This window comes from Homo sapiens, chromosome 20, assembly GCF_000001405.40.
Source record: "Homo sapiens chromosome 20, GRCh38.p14 Primary Assembly".
Taxonomy (NCBI): Eukaryota; Metazoa; Chordata; class Mammalia; order Primates; family Hominidae; genus Homo; species Homo sapiens.
This window is the reverse complement of record NC_000020.11, coordinates 63,013,200-63,032,127: the sequence shown is the minus strand read 5'-3', so window position 1 is coordinate 63,032,127 and position 18,928 is coordinate 63,013,200. Positions and strand designations below refer to the sequence as shown.

General features: G+C 58.6%; 1 long non-coding RNA gene across 1 annotated transcript, besides 3 other annotated features; it reads left to right on the top strand.

The window, feature by feature from the left end:
• Nucleotides 2,961–3,512: an enhancer, noted in NCBI's record as "H3K27ac-H3K4me1 hESC enhancer chr20:61659968-61660519 (GRCh37/hg19 assembly coordinates)". NCBI's record gives its function as "activates a minimal SCP1, AML or CMV promoter by ChIP-STARR-seq in primed H9 embryonic stem cells {active_cell/tissue: H9 hESC(primed)}" and the evidence as "EXISTENCE:reporter gene assay evidence [ECO:0000049][PMID:30033119]".
• Nucleotides 3,807–3,876: a silencer, noted in NCBI's record as "silent region_13144". NCBI's record gives its function as "represses an Ori minimal core promoter by ATAC-STARR-seq in GM12878 lymphoblastoid cells {active_cell/tissue: GM12878}" and the evidence as "EXISTENCE:reporter gene assay evidence [ECO:0000049][PMID:35858748]".
• On the top strand, nt 4,372–6,712 carry LOC105372718 (uncharacterized). The gene is made up of 3 exons (XR_007067718.1): nt 4,372–4,923; nt 5,012–5,230; nt 5,603–6,712. It is a non-coding gene; the product is annotated as an uncharacterized LOC105372718 (long non-coding RNA).
• Nucleotides 14,388–15,355: an enhancer, noted in NCBI's record as "H3K27ac-H3K4me1 hESC enhancer chr20:61648125-61649092 (GRCh37/hg19 assembly coordinates)". NCBI's record gives its function as "activates a minimal SCP1, AML or CMV promoter by ChIP-STARR-seq in naive H9 embryonic stem cells {active_cell/tissue: H9 hESC(naive)}" and the evidence as "EXISTENCE:reporter gene assay evidence [ECO:0000049][PMID:30033119]".

Here is an 18,928-nt window from a genome sequence, read left to right as displayed (position 1 = left end):
ATCCAGATGAAATCCAGCCAGCGTGTCCCCACCTGCTCTGTGCGGACAGCCCCAGGAACCAGAAAGGGACGAGAGGGGCCACAGCACCCTGCTCTCCGCCCCAGTCTTTCCCTACAAACAACAAATCCAACCCTCCCAGGCAGCCCCATCAGAGGGAGTAGGGCTGCTCCTTCCCCGAAGGAGAAGCAGAGGCCGTCCTGAAAACTTGGCTGGGGCACGCCCAGCAGGCTGCAGCCCTGACGCCTTCATCGTCGTGGCCCAGTCATTCAGGGAAGCTCTGGATGCCCCGGCCACTCACCTCTGCAGCGTCACCTAAGATGCAAACAAAGGGCCCCTCAGTGGCTCTTGCCCCCACCCTGCCTGGACCCAACGACCAGCACCCCTGAGTGCCCGTGTGGCAGAGGAGCCCCCAGGGCAGCTGTATTCCTGCTGCCAAGGGCAACGGGCCAAGCCAGGTGGCCCCACTCCAACGACACCGTCCCTCCCCAGAGTCAGCAGCAGCCTCACAAGGAAACTTCAAGCACTCTGGGTGCCCGCCGCACGTGCCCACTGGGTGGGGGTTTATTCTTTCACCCAGCCCATGGGGCATGAACTGCACCCCCACCCTAAGGACCAGAGAGCAGAGGCTCAGCATGGGGCATCACCTGCCCAGGTGAGCACAGGTGGAGCTGGAGGGGCCCGGGCCTGGCTCCTGAGGCTGGGAACCAGCCTCATCCACAGTGACATCCTCCCTCCTCCCCCAGCCCCAGGCTCCCACGCCCCCTCTCCCCCGACTCAGGGTCACCTCCTGCCCGAGCTCTGCTGGTCCCTGGACAGGTCAGCCCTGCCCGCCTCCGGCTGCAACACTGGCCATGTTACCGGTGCCTCTCGTCCCAGCACTGACTCTTTATTTATTTTTTTTTTTTGAGACGGAGTTCACTCTTGTTGCCCAGGCTGGAGTGCAGTGGCACGATCTCGGCTTACTGCAACCTCCACCTCCCGGGTTCAAGCGATTCTCCTGCCTCAGCCTCCCGAGTAGCTGGGATTACAGGCATGCGCCACCACACCCGGCCAATTTTGTATTTTTAGTAGAGAAAGGGTTTCTCCATATTGGCCAGGCTGGTCTCGAACTCCCGACCTCAGGTGATCTGCCTGCCTCGGCCTCCCAAAGTGTTGGGATTACAGGCGTGAGCCACCGCGCCCGGCCCCAGCACTGACTCTTGCTGCTCCAGGTCGTCTGTGGTCCTGGAGACACGGTAATTGAGGATGGGCTGATAGTTGCTTTAGAAACGTGAGCAGGGAGCCACGCCAGAACATTCTAGAAGGGCTGCCAGGAGCTCACGAGACAGTCAGCAGGGAGCCGGCATGAGGGAGGCCAGTGGTCTCCCCGCGCACCCGAGGCCAGGGCACCGCCTGAGCTGACTTTTGAAGCCCATCCTGCGTGGAGGTCCCCAAGCCCTTCGGGTGACACGTTAGCAATGGGAGGGCTTTCCTGAGCCACAGGGTCCTTGAGGAGCAGCAGCTGGGACCCCTGGCTCTGGGTCCAGCTCCACGATGCCTGGCAATGCCCCAGCAGGCACTGGGCTCTGCCACCCCCGATGCTGAACCCCGAGAGCAGCTCCTGCTACAAGGCCGTGTTTCCCAAAGCGTGAGCGGGACACACGTCCTGCTGGTGACTGCGCCACGGGAGAAAGGGCACGCCACGAGCAGCGCTGAAGGAAAATCGGGAAGCGGGAAGCAGCCCCAGGTCCCCCATGGGAGCGCGTGGACGCCCCGCTCGCACTCCCTCTCGCTCGCAGGGCAGTGGCGTGGACAGAACGAGGTCCTCTCCAGGGAAAGCCGACAGCTTTCCAAGGGGACTAACGGGACCTAACACAGCATCGTGCTTGTCCTGGGACGGAGTCACCTGTTTTTAACTAAAAGTGGTCACTTTTGTCCCCTGTCTTGACCTGTGAACTGTCTGCACCATTTGTGAAACACTCATGCCGTTCTTCTGTCTCCAGAGCCCCGAGCAGGGTCGGAGCAGCCTCTGGTCCTACACAAGGGGCCTGGAAGCGCTCCCACCTCCAACATCCCCAGGCCTGCGTCCGGCTCCCACAGAGGGGTCCTGAAGGGCCTCTCCCAGCCCCAGGCTCTGCCTCCACGACCCGGGCAGGGGGCCCTTGGTGAATCTCAGGGCTCTGATTCACCGGCTGGAGGCGGAGTCAGGACACCTGCCTGCTCCCAGCACGGGCCATCGGCCTGGCAGTTTGCAGCCTTGCCTTAAAGGGAGGAAGAGAACAAGCCCGGAAGTGCAACTCGCTGCCTCGGGTGGGAGGGCCCGCGCGGCACGGAGGATGCAACTCGCTGCCTTGGGTGGGAGGCCTGCGCCGTACTGAGGATGGGATGCGCTATTGATTTCCCTCTCTCACCGACCCAGACCATGAAATATTTATCTTTCCTCATTGAGCCTCTGCTTGAGTGGCCTCAGGCCAGTTCCCCTCGGGACCCGAGAGTGAATTGTTGGTCAATAACTCAAAACAGTGGAGCACTGGCAGCGCCAGGTCAGGCCTGGTGCCAGCAGCACCGCCTTGTGGGCAGGACGCAGGACAGGGAAGGAAGCCTTTTGGGGGGGGTCCCCGCACCTTCACGGCAGCACACGCGTGATGAATGCACTGGACGCCGCCCTGAATCCAGGGAAGGCGTGTAGCGGGTAGAATTTAAATGAATTCCCGAAGCCCAGTTGTCCAGTCCAGGCTGAGAGGCTGAGACGTGCATGGACGTTGGCAAACTTGAGCCTGCACACAGAGACGCAGAGGCCCGGGGGACCTGCACACGGAGACGCGGAGGCCCGGGGGACCTGCACACGGAGGCGCGGAGGCCCGGGGGACCTGCACACGGAGGCGCGGAGGCCCGGGGGACCTGCACACACAGACGCGGAGGCCCGGGGGACCTGCACACGGAGGCGCGGAGGCCCGGGGGACCTGCACACGGAGGCGCGGAGGCCCGGGGGACCTGCACACGGAGGCGCGGAGGCCCGGGGGACCTGCACACGGAGGCGCGGAGGCCCGGGGGACCTGCACACGGAGGCGCGGAGGCCCGGGGGACCTGCACACGGAGGCGCGGAGGCCCGGGGGACCTGCACACGGAGGCGCGGAGGCCCGGGGGACCTGCACACACAGACGCGGAGGCCCGGGGGACCTGCACACGGAGGCGCGGAGGCCCGGGGGACCTGCACACGGAGGCGCGGAGGCCCGGGGGACTCGGGTGCGTTTGGAGTCATCATGGGAAATAACACAAACCGTGGCCTCGCCCCTGCAGGGTGGGCCTCGCTCAGCCTCCTGCGCCTCCCAGCAGGAGCAGCTCTTCTACTCAAGCCACTTGTGCATTGTTGAGAGCTGAGCTGCTTAAAAAGGCAGGCGTACCTTCTAAAAGGTAGGACTGCACCGTCTCTGAACAGACTCCCTCCCCCAGAGCTCGGCACGGGAGCAGTTTGGGGAGCTCAACGGAGCGTTCTATCCCAGAAGAGCGAGGGGACTCCGCTCCCACACACCCAAGGAGAGAGCCCCACTGGGCCACCATCTTCCTGAGTCCCGGCCGCTGCCCCACCCGCCCCGGGGGAAAGGGGGTGCCCAGAGCAAAGCCCCCATGGGGGAGAGGCTGCGGGCGGCCCCCTCAGGGAAAGAGTCATGGGCCGGGGTTTCCAGGGCGTGGGAGGGAGGCAGGAAGGAGGGAAGTGGATCAGAGTGGAGACCCCCCAGCCCAGCAAAGGACTTTGTTGCCAGGAGAGGAGGAAGGAGAAGAAAAATGGAAAACCTGCTGTCAGGAAAGAGGCTGAGCCTTAATCTCATGCCACATGAGGGCACTCTGGCAGGCAGAGCCCGAGAGCAGGCACGGCTAATGCCCTCCTCCACCGCCAGCGCCCTCCGCTAATTGAGAACCTGATGAAGCTGCAGAAAGAAGGCCCTGGATCAGCTCGACTTGACTCGCCGACGCCAGGCCCGCACCTGACGCTACTTCACCAGCCTCCTCCCCACCAAACCACTCCCCGCCGGCCCCCTCCCCACCGGCCCCCTCTCCACCGGCCCCTCCCCACCGGTCCTCTCCCCACCGGCCCTCTCCCCACCGGTCCACTCCCCGCCCGCGTTGGTTCTTCACTCTTCACAGGGAACAGGGCAAGGACAGCTGGGACCTTGGAGAGGAGGGGCCTGAGCACACAACAGACATCGTGAAATCAAGAAACGCAAAACAGCCATGATAGATGCTGGTCCGTCCCGGTGCGCAGGCACCCGCATAAATTACCCTATTAATAAGTCGCTTACTCTCCTGGTGCAGGCAAGGGCTGGGTCCCCGGGAATTCACCCGCCCTGGCCTGGAGAGGTGGGCCTGGTTAATTTCAGCGTCTGGTTTTAGGTGAACAGGTCAAGACCGCTCAGAGGGCCGTAGTCCACGCCACAAGGCCCTGTGTCACACCAATTCTGATTCCATGAAGTGTCCAGAACCAGCAAGTCCACAGGGACAGCAAGGAGCTGACAGGGGCAGTGGGGAGACTCTGATGGGCTCCTTTCGGGGTGGTGGAAGTTCTGGAATGAGTGGCAATGGTTGCGCGATGTTGTGAATGTGCTGAAGGCCGCGGGGCATCCCTTTCAGATGGGAGCATGTGCAGTGTGTAAATTCTATCTCAGCGAAGGTCAGCCAGCAGGTGCCCTGAGATCCTGGCATTCTCGTGACCAGGCTGCAGGGGGCTGGCATTTTTTTCTGTTCTGTATTTAAAAAGATTGCACAGGCGTGATCTCCAGAACAAGGCTGGAGGAGGAAACCCATTCCTCGGTAAAGCCCCTCCCTCGCTCCCGGCCAGCGTCCCTGGTGTCCCGACGTCTGCGCTCAGAAGGCTGCATGCTCCGCCACTGCTGTCCCAGAATTCTTCATTTTTGAGCAAGAAGCCCAACGTTCTTATTTTGCGTGGTACTCTAAAATTTCTGAGCTGGTCCTGCCCCCCCATACGGAGGGGGTCGGGGCAATAATGATTAACCTAGTGCCACCTTCCTGGTAGACCCAGAGTGAAGCCCACCAGGCTCCCTGCCCCACCAACCCCCAACCAGGCAAAGGGGCAGCCTGGGCACTGGGCAGGGCTAGCAGGGCTGATCTGCAGGCCTCGGACACCAGGCCCCACCCAAGACACCAGCCCCTGGGACCTGCCACCGCCTGCACTCGGCTGAGCTGCCCCAGCTGTGCGGGGCTCCACGCGCTGGGGAAGGAAGGACGTTCAAAGGTGAGGCTCAGTGCAGGGAAGCAGGTTGAGGTCAGGGAGAGAGGCGGCAGCATTGGGGAAGCCTGTATCCAAGACAGGAGTGCTCAATGCCCAAGGGGGGGTCTCAGCTCCTTCAACCTGCTCCTTAAATGGGAGGCACCAGGCAGGAGAGAGGCCCGGGGGATAGAGCTCCAGCCTGTCCACGACAGACCTCAGCTCAGGCATCCCTCTTAGGGGTTGAATTGGGTCCCTTAAGAATTCTAGTGTGGAAGGCGTCATCCCGGTGCCTGAGATGTGGCCTTACTTGGGAGGAAGGTCACTGCAGGGTCATTAGTTAAGACAAGGTCAGGCTAGAGTAGGGTGGGCCCTAATTCAATGTGACTGTGCCCTTAGGGGAAACGTGGACACAGACACGCACGGGAGAGGCGTGGAAAGGTGAGAAGATGAAGGCAGAGGCCAAGTGATGGTTTCTCGAGCCAAGGAACACCAGGATCGCAGCAAACCTCCAGCACCCAGGTCTCCCACTTCCGGCTCCAGCACAGTGACACTGAATTTCTGTTGTCAAAGCCCAGTCTGCGGCCCTGTGTTGGGTGGTCCGAGGACCCCACCGTCCCTCCCACCGCAAGCTGCGTGTCAGTGTACTTGCAGTGCCTTGACACGGCCGTGCTGAGTGAGCGTGAATGAGCCTCCCTGTGTGTGAGCGACGCTGCCCAGGGAACGCGGCACCGCGGCTTCCTCAGGCCCCTCACCTCCCACCCCGCTGCGTGGCCACCCAGCCGCCCCTCTCGGCTTCCAGGGTCCCTGCAGGGACTTGGCACACAGAGCTAGGCGGCAGCTGAGCCGCATCCTTCCTGCTCCTGCCCCGGGCCAGCCTAGTGAGGGTCCTTCCCCCAGGGCGGCAGCTGCCCAACACTCTCAAGACACACCGGCCCGGAACGTTCCTTCCAGAGCCCACAGAGCACAGAGCTCTTGCCGTGAGGAAGGCCGGGTGCAGCAGGAGACAGCGGCCCACACACATGGCTGCAGACACACATTTCCTCCTGCACACGGGGAGCAAACAGCTTCCGGAAGCTCCCGGGCCGGGCGGCCAGCATTTGCTCAGAGACAGGAGGAGCCTGGCATAAGCATGGCTCAGGAAGGCGGCTTTGCTGGCGCAATCATCCTTAAAGCACATGCCCGTCCCACGCTGACAGCTTAAATCCTGTGATCTTCACAGAGGTGAATGTGAAGTCAGCATCTCTCGCCGGGGTGTGGGCAGAGCCAGCCCGGACGCAGCACGGCCTCTTCCTCCAAATCCCGCAGGATCCCAGAGCCCGTGACCATCTGAGCACTGGGCGGGGACCTGATTCAGCAGGCAGGGGCGTCTGGGGCTTAGGAGCCTGGCTTTCCCCGGGATTCGCTGCCTCCACCATCAAAGTAGCTCAAATGGTTATTGGGTTTGGGGATTTTTTTGTTTTTTTGTTTTTTCCTATCTAAAAAATAACAAAAGTCTCTCCAAGGTCATTTTGTGGGTGGTGTGTTCCTGTCCTTGATGGGAAAGAACATCGTGGAGGGTATAAAACTAAGTGAAACAAAGTCCCACCTCCACCCCCACAGCCCCATCACTCCCCCTCTCTGCCCCTAACCCAACTCAAAAAACCAATGCAGGTCCCTTGGGCCACAGAGAAACTGCTCAGCCAGAACGAAACTCACCCAGGGCGAAGGCTCTGCTCACCTTCAGGCTCGGCTCTGGTGTCCCCCCAGGAGACCCTCCCCACCCTCGTTCAACTCTTCCCGATAGGACAATCTGGGTCCTGGAGACAGACACCCCCATCCTTCTGCTTCGGAGCCCTTCCCAGGGGTGACGCTGACAACTTACACCGTCCCTGAAGCCGCCTTCCCAAGGACCACGGGAAGCTGCAGCTGGAACCACATCACCTGCCAATGCCCGGGTTCCCAGTCACAGCACAAAACACTCGGGGTTCACCTGAGTGCCATAGCTGGAGTGGGATGGTCCCAAGACACCCGGTGCCCGTTCAGGGGAGGATGGCTCCCCCAGGGAACCCTTCACAGCAGAGTTGCAGACACCTGGAGCCATGACGATGTCCCCAAAGGCAGCGGGATTGTGAGGCGCTTGGCCTCACAGGCCCCTGGCCTCACAGGCCCCCTCTGAGAGGAATAAGGGAGGTGGAGATGCAGAAGGGAAGCTTAATCCCATCAGAGCTTCGCCATCATGGTGTGTGATTAAGCGACAGAGCCTTGTGCCTTGACAATGAGGCCTGGCCCGTGAGCACGTCGGGCTCAGCGGTTTTAAATCATCACGCAGGCACCGCGGCATCAGAACAAAGATGCAATCTTATTGACGGCCTCGTAAAACTTCTCGCTTGCTGAACTTCCAGCTACAGAGAAGTGAGGGTTTGCCTCCCACAGGAGGCCCAGAGGCTCCAGCTCTCTGTCTGCCATACCCTAGATCCACCTCGACCCGGGCTGGCCAGTGTCCAGCGGCGTGGGGGCCAGGAGCTCGCGGAGCCCAGCTCCCGCACTGCAGAGTGGACTGGGCGGCCACCGCCCCCCACCGCCACGGAGCAGCGGAGTGGCAGCCACAGATCCAGTCCTTCCCATCAGCCGCTTTTGCCCGCACGAGGGTGGCGGCTGTTCACATAACTGACATCGCCGTGCTGCACCATCCAGTTTTCACGTCACTCTAGAGCCTCACTGTATTTGGAAAATGTGAAATAGTTCCGATCTCCCACCCCGTTCTTAAAAATCACTCAAATCTGCCTAATTTCAAAACTCTGGGTCTGAGAAGCCCGTGTTCTGTGCTATCCCCGCAAGGTGGTGCCACCGTGGTGGGCGACCACAGGACCCCGGGGCCAGGGAGGGTGGGGGCCGGGTCAGGGGCCTGGGGCTACACAGCCCCCTAGGCTCCGGGGCCGCGGGCACAGCTGTTGTTTCAGGTTGGAAGGCCTCACGTGTGCTCAAACACACACACCCTCATTTTCTCAGCCACGCTGCCGTTCCCCCTAATTAGGCAGAACTTGGGTTGACAGTGAAAGCAATTGTCGAGTTGACCCCATCACTCTGCCTACAGTGGCCCAAGGAGGGGCCAGTCACCGTGGGAAAGGTTGGCAGATGCCGACCGTATTGACAGTTAAAAGAAGTGGCATCGGGTGGACATGCTAAGCCCAAATCCCTCCCTTTAGAGCAGGCAACGAGGAGCAAAGGAGGCAGGCAGGGGAGGGGTCCGTGCTGGGAATCCTGAGATGGCAGGAGCCCCCCGGGGCAGCCCCGAGTTAACCACGCCACTGACCAGCCTCAGCCGGGTTGGACCAGGTGCTCAGGAAGAATCTGTCCAGCTCTGGCCCAGGGAGCGGCAGGGGACAGAAAGGAGAGGCATGGCATGAAGAGTGTGTGGGCAGCTCACAGCCTCTACATGGGACCCGGTCCTCCAAAAAGACAATCTCTGCTCCATCAGGACACCACCCAAATGCAGCCCCCTCCAGGAAGCCCTCCTGAAACTAGTCCGGATTAAGTGTTCACCCCGCAAACCTCCCCCGGGCCAGGGTGCACCTCCTTTCAGACTTGCAGGAAGCACCTAAAGGGTGTGAAGAGGGAAGAGGGGAACCAACAGACAGAGGTCCACCTGCACGGGCCGGTTCCGAGCAGCCTTTGGGGGCGCCACCACGCAGGTCCAGGGCTTGGCACTGACCAGCCGGACCCAGCTGGGTCTCCTGTGGGCGGCGCGGGAGATTCTGATCAGCCACTCAAACCGCCAGGACTGAGACCTGGGAAGGAGACTCAGGACGGAATTTCCAGGCCAAGAGAGAGCAGATGCTGGAGGAAGAGGTGCTCGTTTTCCTCCGGGGCTGCCGGCAGCTCCTGCCACGCTGAGGGTTCCACTGCCTCAGAGTCAAGTCAGCCCAGGACACAGCAGAGCTGAGGGATGGAAGGAGACCCAGGCTTTGTGCCAGCAGTGGCACCTGGACTCCACTGTGCCTGAAGCCGTTCTCGGTTCACGTAACTGAAAACTCCAGAGGCCCTTTTCCTACTTTAACTAGTTTGGCTCAGTCAGGATCCTTCAGTTGCAAGTGACTGAACCCCAGCTCAGAGGAAAGGCCGTGCGGTCCTGACCCTGCAGGTCACAGCACGAGAGAAGTCAGACAGACGAGGAGCTGGCGCCAGGAAGCAGAGGTGACGGTCCATTCACCAGGGAGAGGGGAGCACCCTGCACAGGGCAGCGGCCCACACCCCATCTGCCCACCTGGCTCGCTCTCTGCTGACCCACCTCCCCCACCCCCTGCAGCCGCATGGGAGGCTCATGGAAACCTGGTTTACATCAAAACGGTGGATGGGCTAGGGGGCTAGGGTCTCTCGTCAGGGGCTGCTCCTGGTATTTGCGGGTCTGGAGCAGGGGCACCAGGGCAGCCTGCCCCCTCATCTTGCCTCAATAAATAGCAGATGCCCGCCCACTGCAAGTGGCCATGCCACACGGCTTCCCTCTCTGCGCCCCCTCAAGGGGCCTCCCCTCAGCTCCAGCCCTCACAAATAAGACTCAGGCCAACAAACTTGCTCCTAAAAAACATCATTCATTTGCCTTTTAATTGTGCCATAAACAATTGTTTAAAGGGCTGAAAACTCTTTTAATGTTCAATGTATTAATATTTAATCTCAGCCAAGTACAAAATCACGTGTGCAATAACGTGGGAGCCACGTGGAGAAAATCAATAACAGACACATTCACTCTGCTCCCAGCGCAGTCTCTGTCCCTGGGCTTCTCCAGGCGTTCACGCCTTCTCAGACACCGCAGGCGGCACAGGGCCCCCGCTGCAGCCAGGACGCCCCTGTCTGAGAGCAACGCGGCTGGGGCAGCTTCCAGGGGCCCTCGGGACCCGGGCCAGCCTCCTGTGCAGCTTGGGATGTGTGGAAGGGGAAGTCGGCGAGACCCAGCTCAAGACGTCCAGGTCTCCGCCCCATACAATGCTGTGTCCAGTCAGGGCTCAGAAAGCATGGCCCTGCGCCGTGCTCCCCTCACTCCTCCCCGCCTGCGCCCACATCATCTGGAATCATCCACACTGCAGAAGGACCCACCACCTGCACCCACGTCGTCTGGACCCATCCACACTGCAGAGAGACCTACCGCCTGCACCCACATCGTCTGGAACCATCCGGGAACCCAGAGGGAGACTCTGCACTCAGTGATGGGGGGGATGGGCAGGGCCCACGTGGACATCAGGGAGCCCCACGCTTGGTGCCCTGAGGTCTTCCCACAGTAGGAGAACCCAGCACCCACCGCCCAGGACTCTGGACACCCCCCCTCACACACCAGCTCCCAAGCTCTGCAGACAGACAGACGGCAGCACATACTCGGGCTCTGCCTCAGCGGGCAGAGTGCTCTCCAGGCGCAGGTCCCCGTCTGTAGGACAGGAGGGAAGGAGGCCGCTGAGTGCTTGCACAGAGCTGAGGCTTTACAGAGCCGGTCCCCTCCACTGCTCAATAAACGTCACCACTCAATAAACATCACCGGCCCCACCAGAGCCTCTCATGGTCCCCGGCCAGTGGAGAGAACAGGGACAGAAGCAGCCAGACTCCGGTGCCCGTCTAGGAAAGGGCCCCTCCCCTATAAACAACTAGAAACCGACAACACACGTGGACAGCAGCCTTCAGACTCGGGGTCTGGAGTGCAGGACCATGACCCCTGAGAGAGCAAGTGAGGGGCACCCACACTTGCCCGGCTCACCACCTGAAGACAGCTCCCATGCTGCGACTCAGAAGGGGCTGCAAACAGAACCCAGACATCTCTCTGAGCTGAGGAGACAGAAGGCATAGCCACGGGGCAGAAGACCAGAGACAGAGGGCTGCACAGAGAGGGAGCACCGAGGTCCACAGAGGGCTCCCCGAAAGCCTTAGAAAGGTACCAACTTGCACGTGCCTGGGATGAGACTGCAAGATGGGAGAAAGCCCTGGGGAATGGAACAGGGACAGCACCTGGAACTCACACAGGCCAGGAATAAGCTGCATCCCCACAGGGAGGGAGCGTCACCGGGAGAGCCCTCCAAAGGGAACTGCTACGGCGCTGAGATAACCTGCATCCGGCCTGCCAGCACCCAAGGCCAGCCTGGAAAGGGTCATCGGGTTCCCAGCAGCTTCACCACATACCAGGACTAAGCCCAACACTCTCTAAAGGGTTACAACAAAACCTGGCACCTAACAATGTAGCACTCACAAGGAAGCGTGCAGCCAAAAATTACCAAGGATGCAACAAAGGGGGAAGTATGACCCAGGATCAGGAGAAAAAAGAATCAACAGAAACAGACCCAGAAAGGACGGCGGCGATGGCATCAGCAGACAAGGACATTAAAGCCGCAGTCACAACTAGGGCCCACATTTTCAAGGACACAGAGGAAAACATAAGCGTGCTGAAGAGTGCAATGACAGATCTTTAGGAACCTAAACGCAATTTCAGAGGCGAAAAATACATCGGAAATGAAACACGATGGACAGGAATAACATCCAATGACATTTTTTAAGGAATGTGAAGACATAGCAATAGCAAATATTCAAAATGAAGCCCAGTGAGGGAAAAAAGACTGGAAGACCAATGGCTGGGCGTGCTGCCTCATGCCCGTAATCCCAGCATCTGGGGAGGCCAAGGCGGGCAGATCAATTGAGGTCAGGAGTTCGAGATCAGGCTGGCCAACATGGCAAAACCCCATCTCTACCAAAACTACAAAAAAATTAGCCAGGCCTAGTGGCAGTGCCTGTAGCCCCAGCTACTCAAGAGGCTGAGGCAGGAGAATCACTGAACCCGGGAGGTGAAGGCTGCAGTGAGCTGAGATCGCACCACTGCATCCCAGCTTGGGAGACAGAGCAAAACTCCATCTCAAAAAAAAAAAAAAAAATCCACAATATGCTGCACACAGCTAATGTGGTGGAGGGATCAAGAAAAAATGTTTAATAAAGTTTTTCAATTGGACAAAAATCTAGACAAGCTCCATGAACTCCAAGCAGAATAAACAGAAAGAAACCACGGCACGGCCATTGTAATAAAACTGTAGAAAACCAGTGACACAGAAAAATCTTAAAAGCAGTCAAAGAAAACAGGCATGTTACATAGAGAGACAGGAATTACAGCCGACATCGTGTGAAACGTCGTGAGCTGGGAGACAGACGACGCGTTAGCACATTTAAAGGACTGAAAGAAGAGAATACCTGTCAAGCTAAAACTCTACATCGGGAAAAATATCCTCACAAATGTAGGCAAATAAAGATTTTTTTCAACAAAAGGCCGAGAGAATTTATCACCAGCAGACGTGCGGTACAAGAAACATCAAAGTTATTCAGGCAGAAGGAAAATGACACCAGATGAGTCTACACAGACAAAGAAAGTGGCTAGATAGGGAAAATATGTGGATGATAAAAATGCTGTTTTTCTGGCTGGGCGTGTTTGCTCACGCCTGTAATCCCAGCACTTTGGGAGGCCGAGGTGGGAGGATCACTTGAGCCCAGGAGTTCAGTTTAGGCTGGGCAACACGGTGAGAGCTGTCTCTTTAAAAAAAAAAATGCTGTTTTTATTACTTTTCAAATTTTGAAAGATAATCGCCTGTTAAAGCAAACGTATTCATAATACACTGTGGGGTTTATAACATATGTGGATTTAGTAAAACGTCTGACAACGATAGTACAAAGGGCAAGCAGGCGGGTGGGCGGGCGGGTGAGTGGCGAGCGGGTGGGTGGCGAGCGGGTGGGCGGCGAGCGGATCTTATGCTGTTATGAACTCATGGTGCTCTTTAGAGCTACGCCTTGGTGATCTGGAAGCACGTACCAGAAGCCTACCTACTGAAGAGGGTGGCCACTAAGACGTAAGCCAAAGGGCCAGGTGCGGTGGCTCACACCTGTAAACCCAGCACTTTGGGAGGCCGAGGCGGGCAGATCACCTGAGGTCGGGAGTTTGAGACCAGCCTGGCCAACATGGCAAAACGCCGTCTCTACTAAAAATACAAAAATTAGCCGGGCATGGTGGCTCATGCCTGTAATCCCAGCTACTCGGGAGGCTGAGGCAGGAGAATTGCTTTAACCCAGAAGGCAGAGGTTGCAGTGAGCCGAGATTGCACCACTGCACTCCAGCCTGAGTGACAGAGCAAGACTGTGAAAAGAAAAAGAAACAAAGAGACAAAGAAAGTAAAAGAAAGAAAGGAAGGAAGGAAGGAAGGGAGTATCAAACAAGCGGGTAGTGACAGTAAGCACAGAGTCATGTGAAAGGTCCGTTAGTCCCAAACGATACAAGAGAAGAGGCAGCAAGAACAGGTGGGACAAATAGGAAAATCTCACAAACTCTGTGGAAAAGCCGCATTCTGAAACCACAAGGCATTGAAGAGAAAAATTCAAGACCTAAATAAATGGCAAGATGCCTTGTTCCCAGACGGGACGACACTGCATCATTGCGACAGTGATACCAGCGCACCCCAAATCGGGTTCCACCTTATCCGGGAGGAACCCTTGCCGAGCACGGCCAGGGCACACGCACCAACTCCGCAAACGCCGAAAGGAGACAGTGAGACTCTGCAGGTCAGAGCTGGGGACTGCAGCTGACAGCAGGGCCACCACATGGCAGCACCCAGTCCCCAGCCCTGAGTCTCGCAGGCCGTGAGGGCCCTGGTGGAGCCCATGCCCCAGGGCTCAGCTGCTTCCACATCAACACCGCAGAGCTGCGCTCTCAGCAGCAGGCGTCGGCCACCACCTGTGCACTCCCTGCTCAGCCCAGAGGACCTCTCGGGCAGCTCAGACGGACCCTTGACCCTCTAGGGCTGGGCATCTCATGGTCACAGTGGTGGCCCCGAAGGACGGCCTCCTGCCCGCTGTCTCTGCGGGGGGCACTCCAGTCCGGGGCCGCTGTGTGGAGCCGGGGCATGGCCTGCCTGTGGACATCACGCCCTGGTGCAGTGTCAGGTGACTGCACCACGGACCGTGTGCTATGGCGGCAGGGCTCGGTTAGAAGTTCCGAGTGCTGTGGCCAGGGCTAAGGGCCACAGAGAGGGAACCTGGGCTCAGGGGCCCTCAGAGCCTTCCCACCTCCACTGGCCAGAGGGGGAAAGGGTCAGCCCGCAGAGGGTGAGGACACAGGCGGTCGGAGTGGGGCTGGGGTCCGTGGGTGCACCTGCTGTGGTCCCAGCAGCGGGGATGCACAGGTGAGTACCCGGCCTGACCTCATTCACCTAAACACACGGCAGGAGGCAGGCGCCATGACTGCACCTCGGTTTACTCACTGTGGGGCAAGGAGAGAGTTAGGGGTCCAGGTTGGGCCACAAAATCCAGGCCTTGACCTCTGTCCTGGGGGCTGGTCCCCTGTGCCTGATGTGGCCTTGTGGGCACAGACCCCCCAGCCCTGCCACTGTGGAGCCCAGCCCTGCACCAGCCCTGCCACCATGGAGCCCAGGCCCCCTCTGCAAGTCCTGCCACTGTGAAGCCCAGCACCGCCCCCGCAAGCCCTGCCAACATGGAGCCCAGCCCTGCACCAGCAGGCCACCACATGAACCACACTCCAGTCCCTCCCCGTCCTCTCTCACCGTGGGAGGCCCCTCTGCAGCCCACTGAGGGCTCTCCTGAGGCAGGGCTGCCGGCCTGGGGGATGGGACGGGCCCACTCCATCACCGCCAGGCACCACCCCCTTCTTCAGGCCCACCCTGCACAGCCCAGCACTGGCGCCCTCCTGGCTGCCTCCCGGGTGCTTCAGGGACCCCAGGACCCGTTGATGTGGCCCCAGAGTGGCCAAAGACACACTTGGCCGCTGCACCCCTGCTCCCCGAAAAGCCTCGCCCAGACTTGGCCACTGAGATGCAAACCTGGGGCCTTGCTGCCTCCCGGCAGCCAGAAGAAGAAATGCCCAGGTCAGCCGCCCCGACCAGCCTGCAGAGCCCTGGAGACACTGGTCCCATCATCTGGGGAGGCCCTGGACCCCAGCCTGTCCCCAGACAGCACCGAGGGGCTGGGCAGAGCTAGTCAGACCATCTCCCCAGGCCTCCCCTCCTCCTTCCCAGACTGAGCCCCCACTCATGTCCCCATAAGGTGCTCAGCAGGGGCTCAGGACAGCATGGCCCCAGCAAGGGCTCAGCAGGTGCCAGGCTGCCCTGTGCCCCTCCAGTCCACTCAGGGCACCTGGAAAGAACACAGGTGGACAAGGATGAGGACAAGGAAGCGCAGCCACAGCGTGGGGGTGGCGGGGCCTTAGAAACAGAGCAAGGGAATTGGGGACTTTGTCGAATGTGCTGACGTCAGCGTCTGCACATGGTGAAGGCCGGGAGGCCGAACAATGATATTCAGGAGGCGGAGTGCACTGAGTGCCTTTCATCTGGAGGCTTTCAACTAACATTGGGTTTATCAGACGTGACCCTGGCATGATCCAGGAGCCCCCATACAGGGGAGCGAGTGCAGAAATGGGGAGTCCCACAGGGCAGTGTCTCAGTCACCTGCTGCCTGGAGCAAACTACCCCAGAGCTTGGTGGCTTAAAACAACCCCCACTTTACAGTCACAACTCTGGGTGCAGGACTAGAGAAGGGTCGGGGTGGCCGTGTCCGCTTCATGAGGTGTGGCTGGGTTGACCTCGTGGCTGCATCCCGTGGGGCTGGGCTGGGTTGCAAGGTCCAAGCAGGGTCACCAATACACAGGGGACCTTGGGTGGGCCATGGGCTGGGCACACCCTCCACGTGGCCTCTCTCCATGCTGCAGGAGAAGCTGGACTGGAGATGCCGGGCAGTGAGCGAGCAGAAGCCGAGGCCATCACACCCAGAAAGGATGTGACGCCTCTGCGGCATCTGTCATGGCCACGGGGGCCCCAGCAGCCCAGATGCAGGGGTGGAGCACCGGGTGAGAGGAGCTGCAGGCCTGGGCGGGGCGGGGGGAGGTGGAGGCAGGGAGAGGCAGGGAGAGGCAGGGAGAGGCAGGGAGAGGCAGGGAGAGGCAGGGAGAGGCAGGGAGCCCTGTGCAGATGGGACCTGTGATGCGGCTGACTGGGCAGGGGTGGGGGAGGTGGAGACAGGGAAAGGCAGGGAGCCCTGTGCAGATGAGACCTGTGATGGGGCTGACTCTGGGTGTCGGGAAGGTGGAGCACGGGGATTTCAAATGCACTGGATGAGCGTGAGCGAAGGCACTCAGAGTGGTGGCGAGGCTCTCGCTTGAGCAGCAGGAAGGAAGATGGGGCTGCCCCAGCGCGCCAGGGATGTGGGGAGGCCCAGCTGCCCAGAGGGCAGTGAGTGGGAGCCCAGGAAAGCCCAGGACCCGGGGACAGAGCCAAGCCCGACCCCACCCCAGGTGAAACAACCTGGTTCACAGCTGGGACCCCAGAGGCACACCCGTCCCCCAAATAGCAAGGAGCCAGGCAAAATCTCAGGTCCCCTCTCCCACACCACCCACCAGTGGAGACATGAGGCTGCCTCAGGAGCCCATGTGGCATTTCTGTGCATATCTGTTGCCACACAGCCAGGGGCACCCTGCCCAGAAAAGCCTGGCGTGGTCCCGCGTCCTCAGGCGGTGAGGAGGGGCCACCTGCAGCTGCCTCATCTCATCCCCAGCCTCTCTAGAGTACTCTACATCCAGCCCCGTAGTCAAGACCCTAGAAGCCCACCCAGCTCTCCACACACAGAAACCCACCAGGCCATTCACGGAGCACGGCCGAGCACAGGGAGGTGACGTGGGGCTGGACATCTCATCTGACTCCCCCAGCGGGATGCCTCCTGTCTTCAATGAGGGCCGGGTGTGTCCCCGGGCCCAGGGCCCACAGCAGCAGCTGCCAGGCCACGTCTCTCATGGAAGACACCCTCTCTGGGCGTGGGCATCAGCTTTGAAAAGATAGACCCCACTCGCCTGCAGTGCGGCGTCCACAGACTGCCTGGTGGGATTTCCCATCCGGGACCTCAGAGGCTGTGAGCTCGGGAGGCAGGAGGCAGATGGGGCCATTCACAGTCTAGTCTTTGTTGATGACAGGGGAGGGGCTGAGGCAGGACTCTGAGAGGGAGAGGCGTGACCTGACCCTGCCTGAGGAGGACCTCACAGCTGCTGTGTGAAAGGGAGGGTCTGGGGATGATGGGAGGGCAGAAGCCATTAGAAGGCTGCTGTGCTGACTGAGGGCAGGCGGGAAGAGGTGGGGAGCGGCCGCATTCCAGATGAACGTGGGAGGGAGAACCAACAGGGTGTGAGCTGCGAGGAAGCATGATTTGCCCTCAACAGAATCTGGGGGTGGGGGTGGGCGGGTCTGGGGGAGGCCGCAGCTCCATCTGGAACGCGCTGCATCGGAGGCGGCCCTCACACATCTGACATTCTGCGCTCCGCTGAATCCGTGAGTCTGGAGTTCAGCACTGGGGTCTGGGTAGGCTGTGGGAAGGGTATTGGATGAGATCCCCGAGGGGGCAGACACAGCTAGGAAAAAGGCCAAAGGACTGAATCCCAAGCCCTCCAGAATGAAAATGTCGGGGAAAAGAAGAACCGGCAAAGGGGGCTGAGGATGAGTCACCAGGAGGTCACTCTAAGTATTAGCTGAAATAGTGATGATTTTACAAGGGGGAGGAAGGTCTATTGCATGAACTCTAAACTGGTCACCGCAGAATCAATGTTGTTCAAGACTGAAAACAACCATCAGACTTCCAGTTTCTGGTTATTAGGGACTAGTTAATCTGGACCCATCACTTTTCTGATGGTGACTACAAAAGCTGAGCAAAATGTTAAAAATATTTGCTTGGAATGCAAACAAACAAAATCCCAGAAAGACAAAGATCCAGAGTGAAAAAAGCCTTCGGGACGCTCACTTTTCCCCCAAAGCATTTGCTGCTTCAGATAGCTCACAGCCCACTGAGGAGCCAGACAGCGAGAGATTCAGCCCACCTGAGAGTGGGGAGTTGGCGAACATCCCCCCGACCCCCACCATTTTGAGTTGGGACAACAAATAACCGCACCCTAGACATAGGGGTGGATAGAAGGAGACCGGCTCTTGCAGCAACTCAGGGCCTTTTGCACCACTGCCAGGGTAGGAAAACCTAAACTGTAATCATCTTGAAATGATTTCAATCCCTGAAACTAGAGTAAGATGATCCAGGACCCCTAGTGCCCCCATGTCTCGCAGATGCAAACATAAACCCTCTCTGGAGGAAAATAAAATAGACCTCAAATGATTTCTACAAAATAATTTTACAAATACAATGTTCAGTCCACAATAAAAATTCTAGACAATTGAAAAAACAAATCAGCAAGAATGAAAGCAGCAGAGACCATAGGCAGAAGATCTACCAGTCCAGACACTGGAGTCGCGAGACAGAGACTGGAACAAAACTGTGCTTACAGCATTTGCAGAAATAGAGGTGGAATTTAGAATTTCAGCAAAAAAAAAAAAAAAAACCTAGAAAAACCAAATGAAAATTCTAGCACTGAAAAATAAAATCACTTAAATTATAAACTTAGTGGCTTTAATAGCAAATTCAGCTGAAGAGAGAATTAGTGAAGTGGAAAATAGGTCAGTAGAAAATATTCAGAATGAAGTATGGATAATACAAATGGAAAATACAGGTGACAGGTTAAGATACACAAAGGATTCAGGAAGAAGGACCAATATATTTGTAACTGGATCCCAGAGAGGAGATGAGAGAACATGAGGTTGAAGCAATACTCCAGAGTTAATAGCCAGGAAATTTCTAAAAGTAATCAAAATCATCAAGTCACAAATTCAAGAACCCCACAAACCCAAAAAGGATAAATGA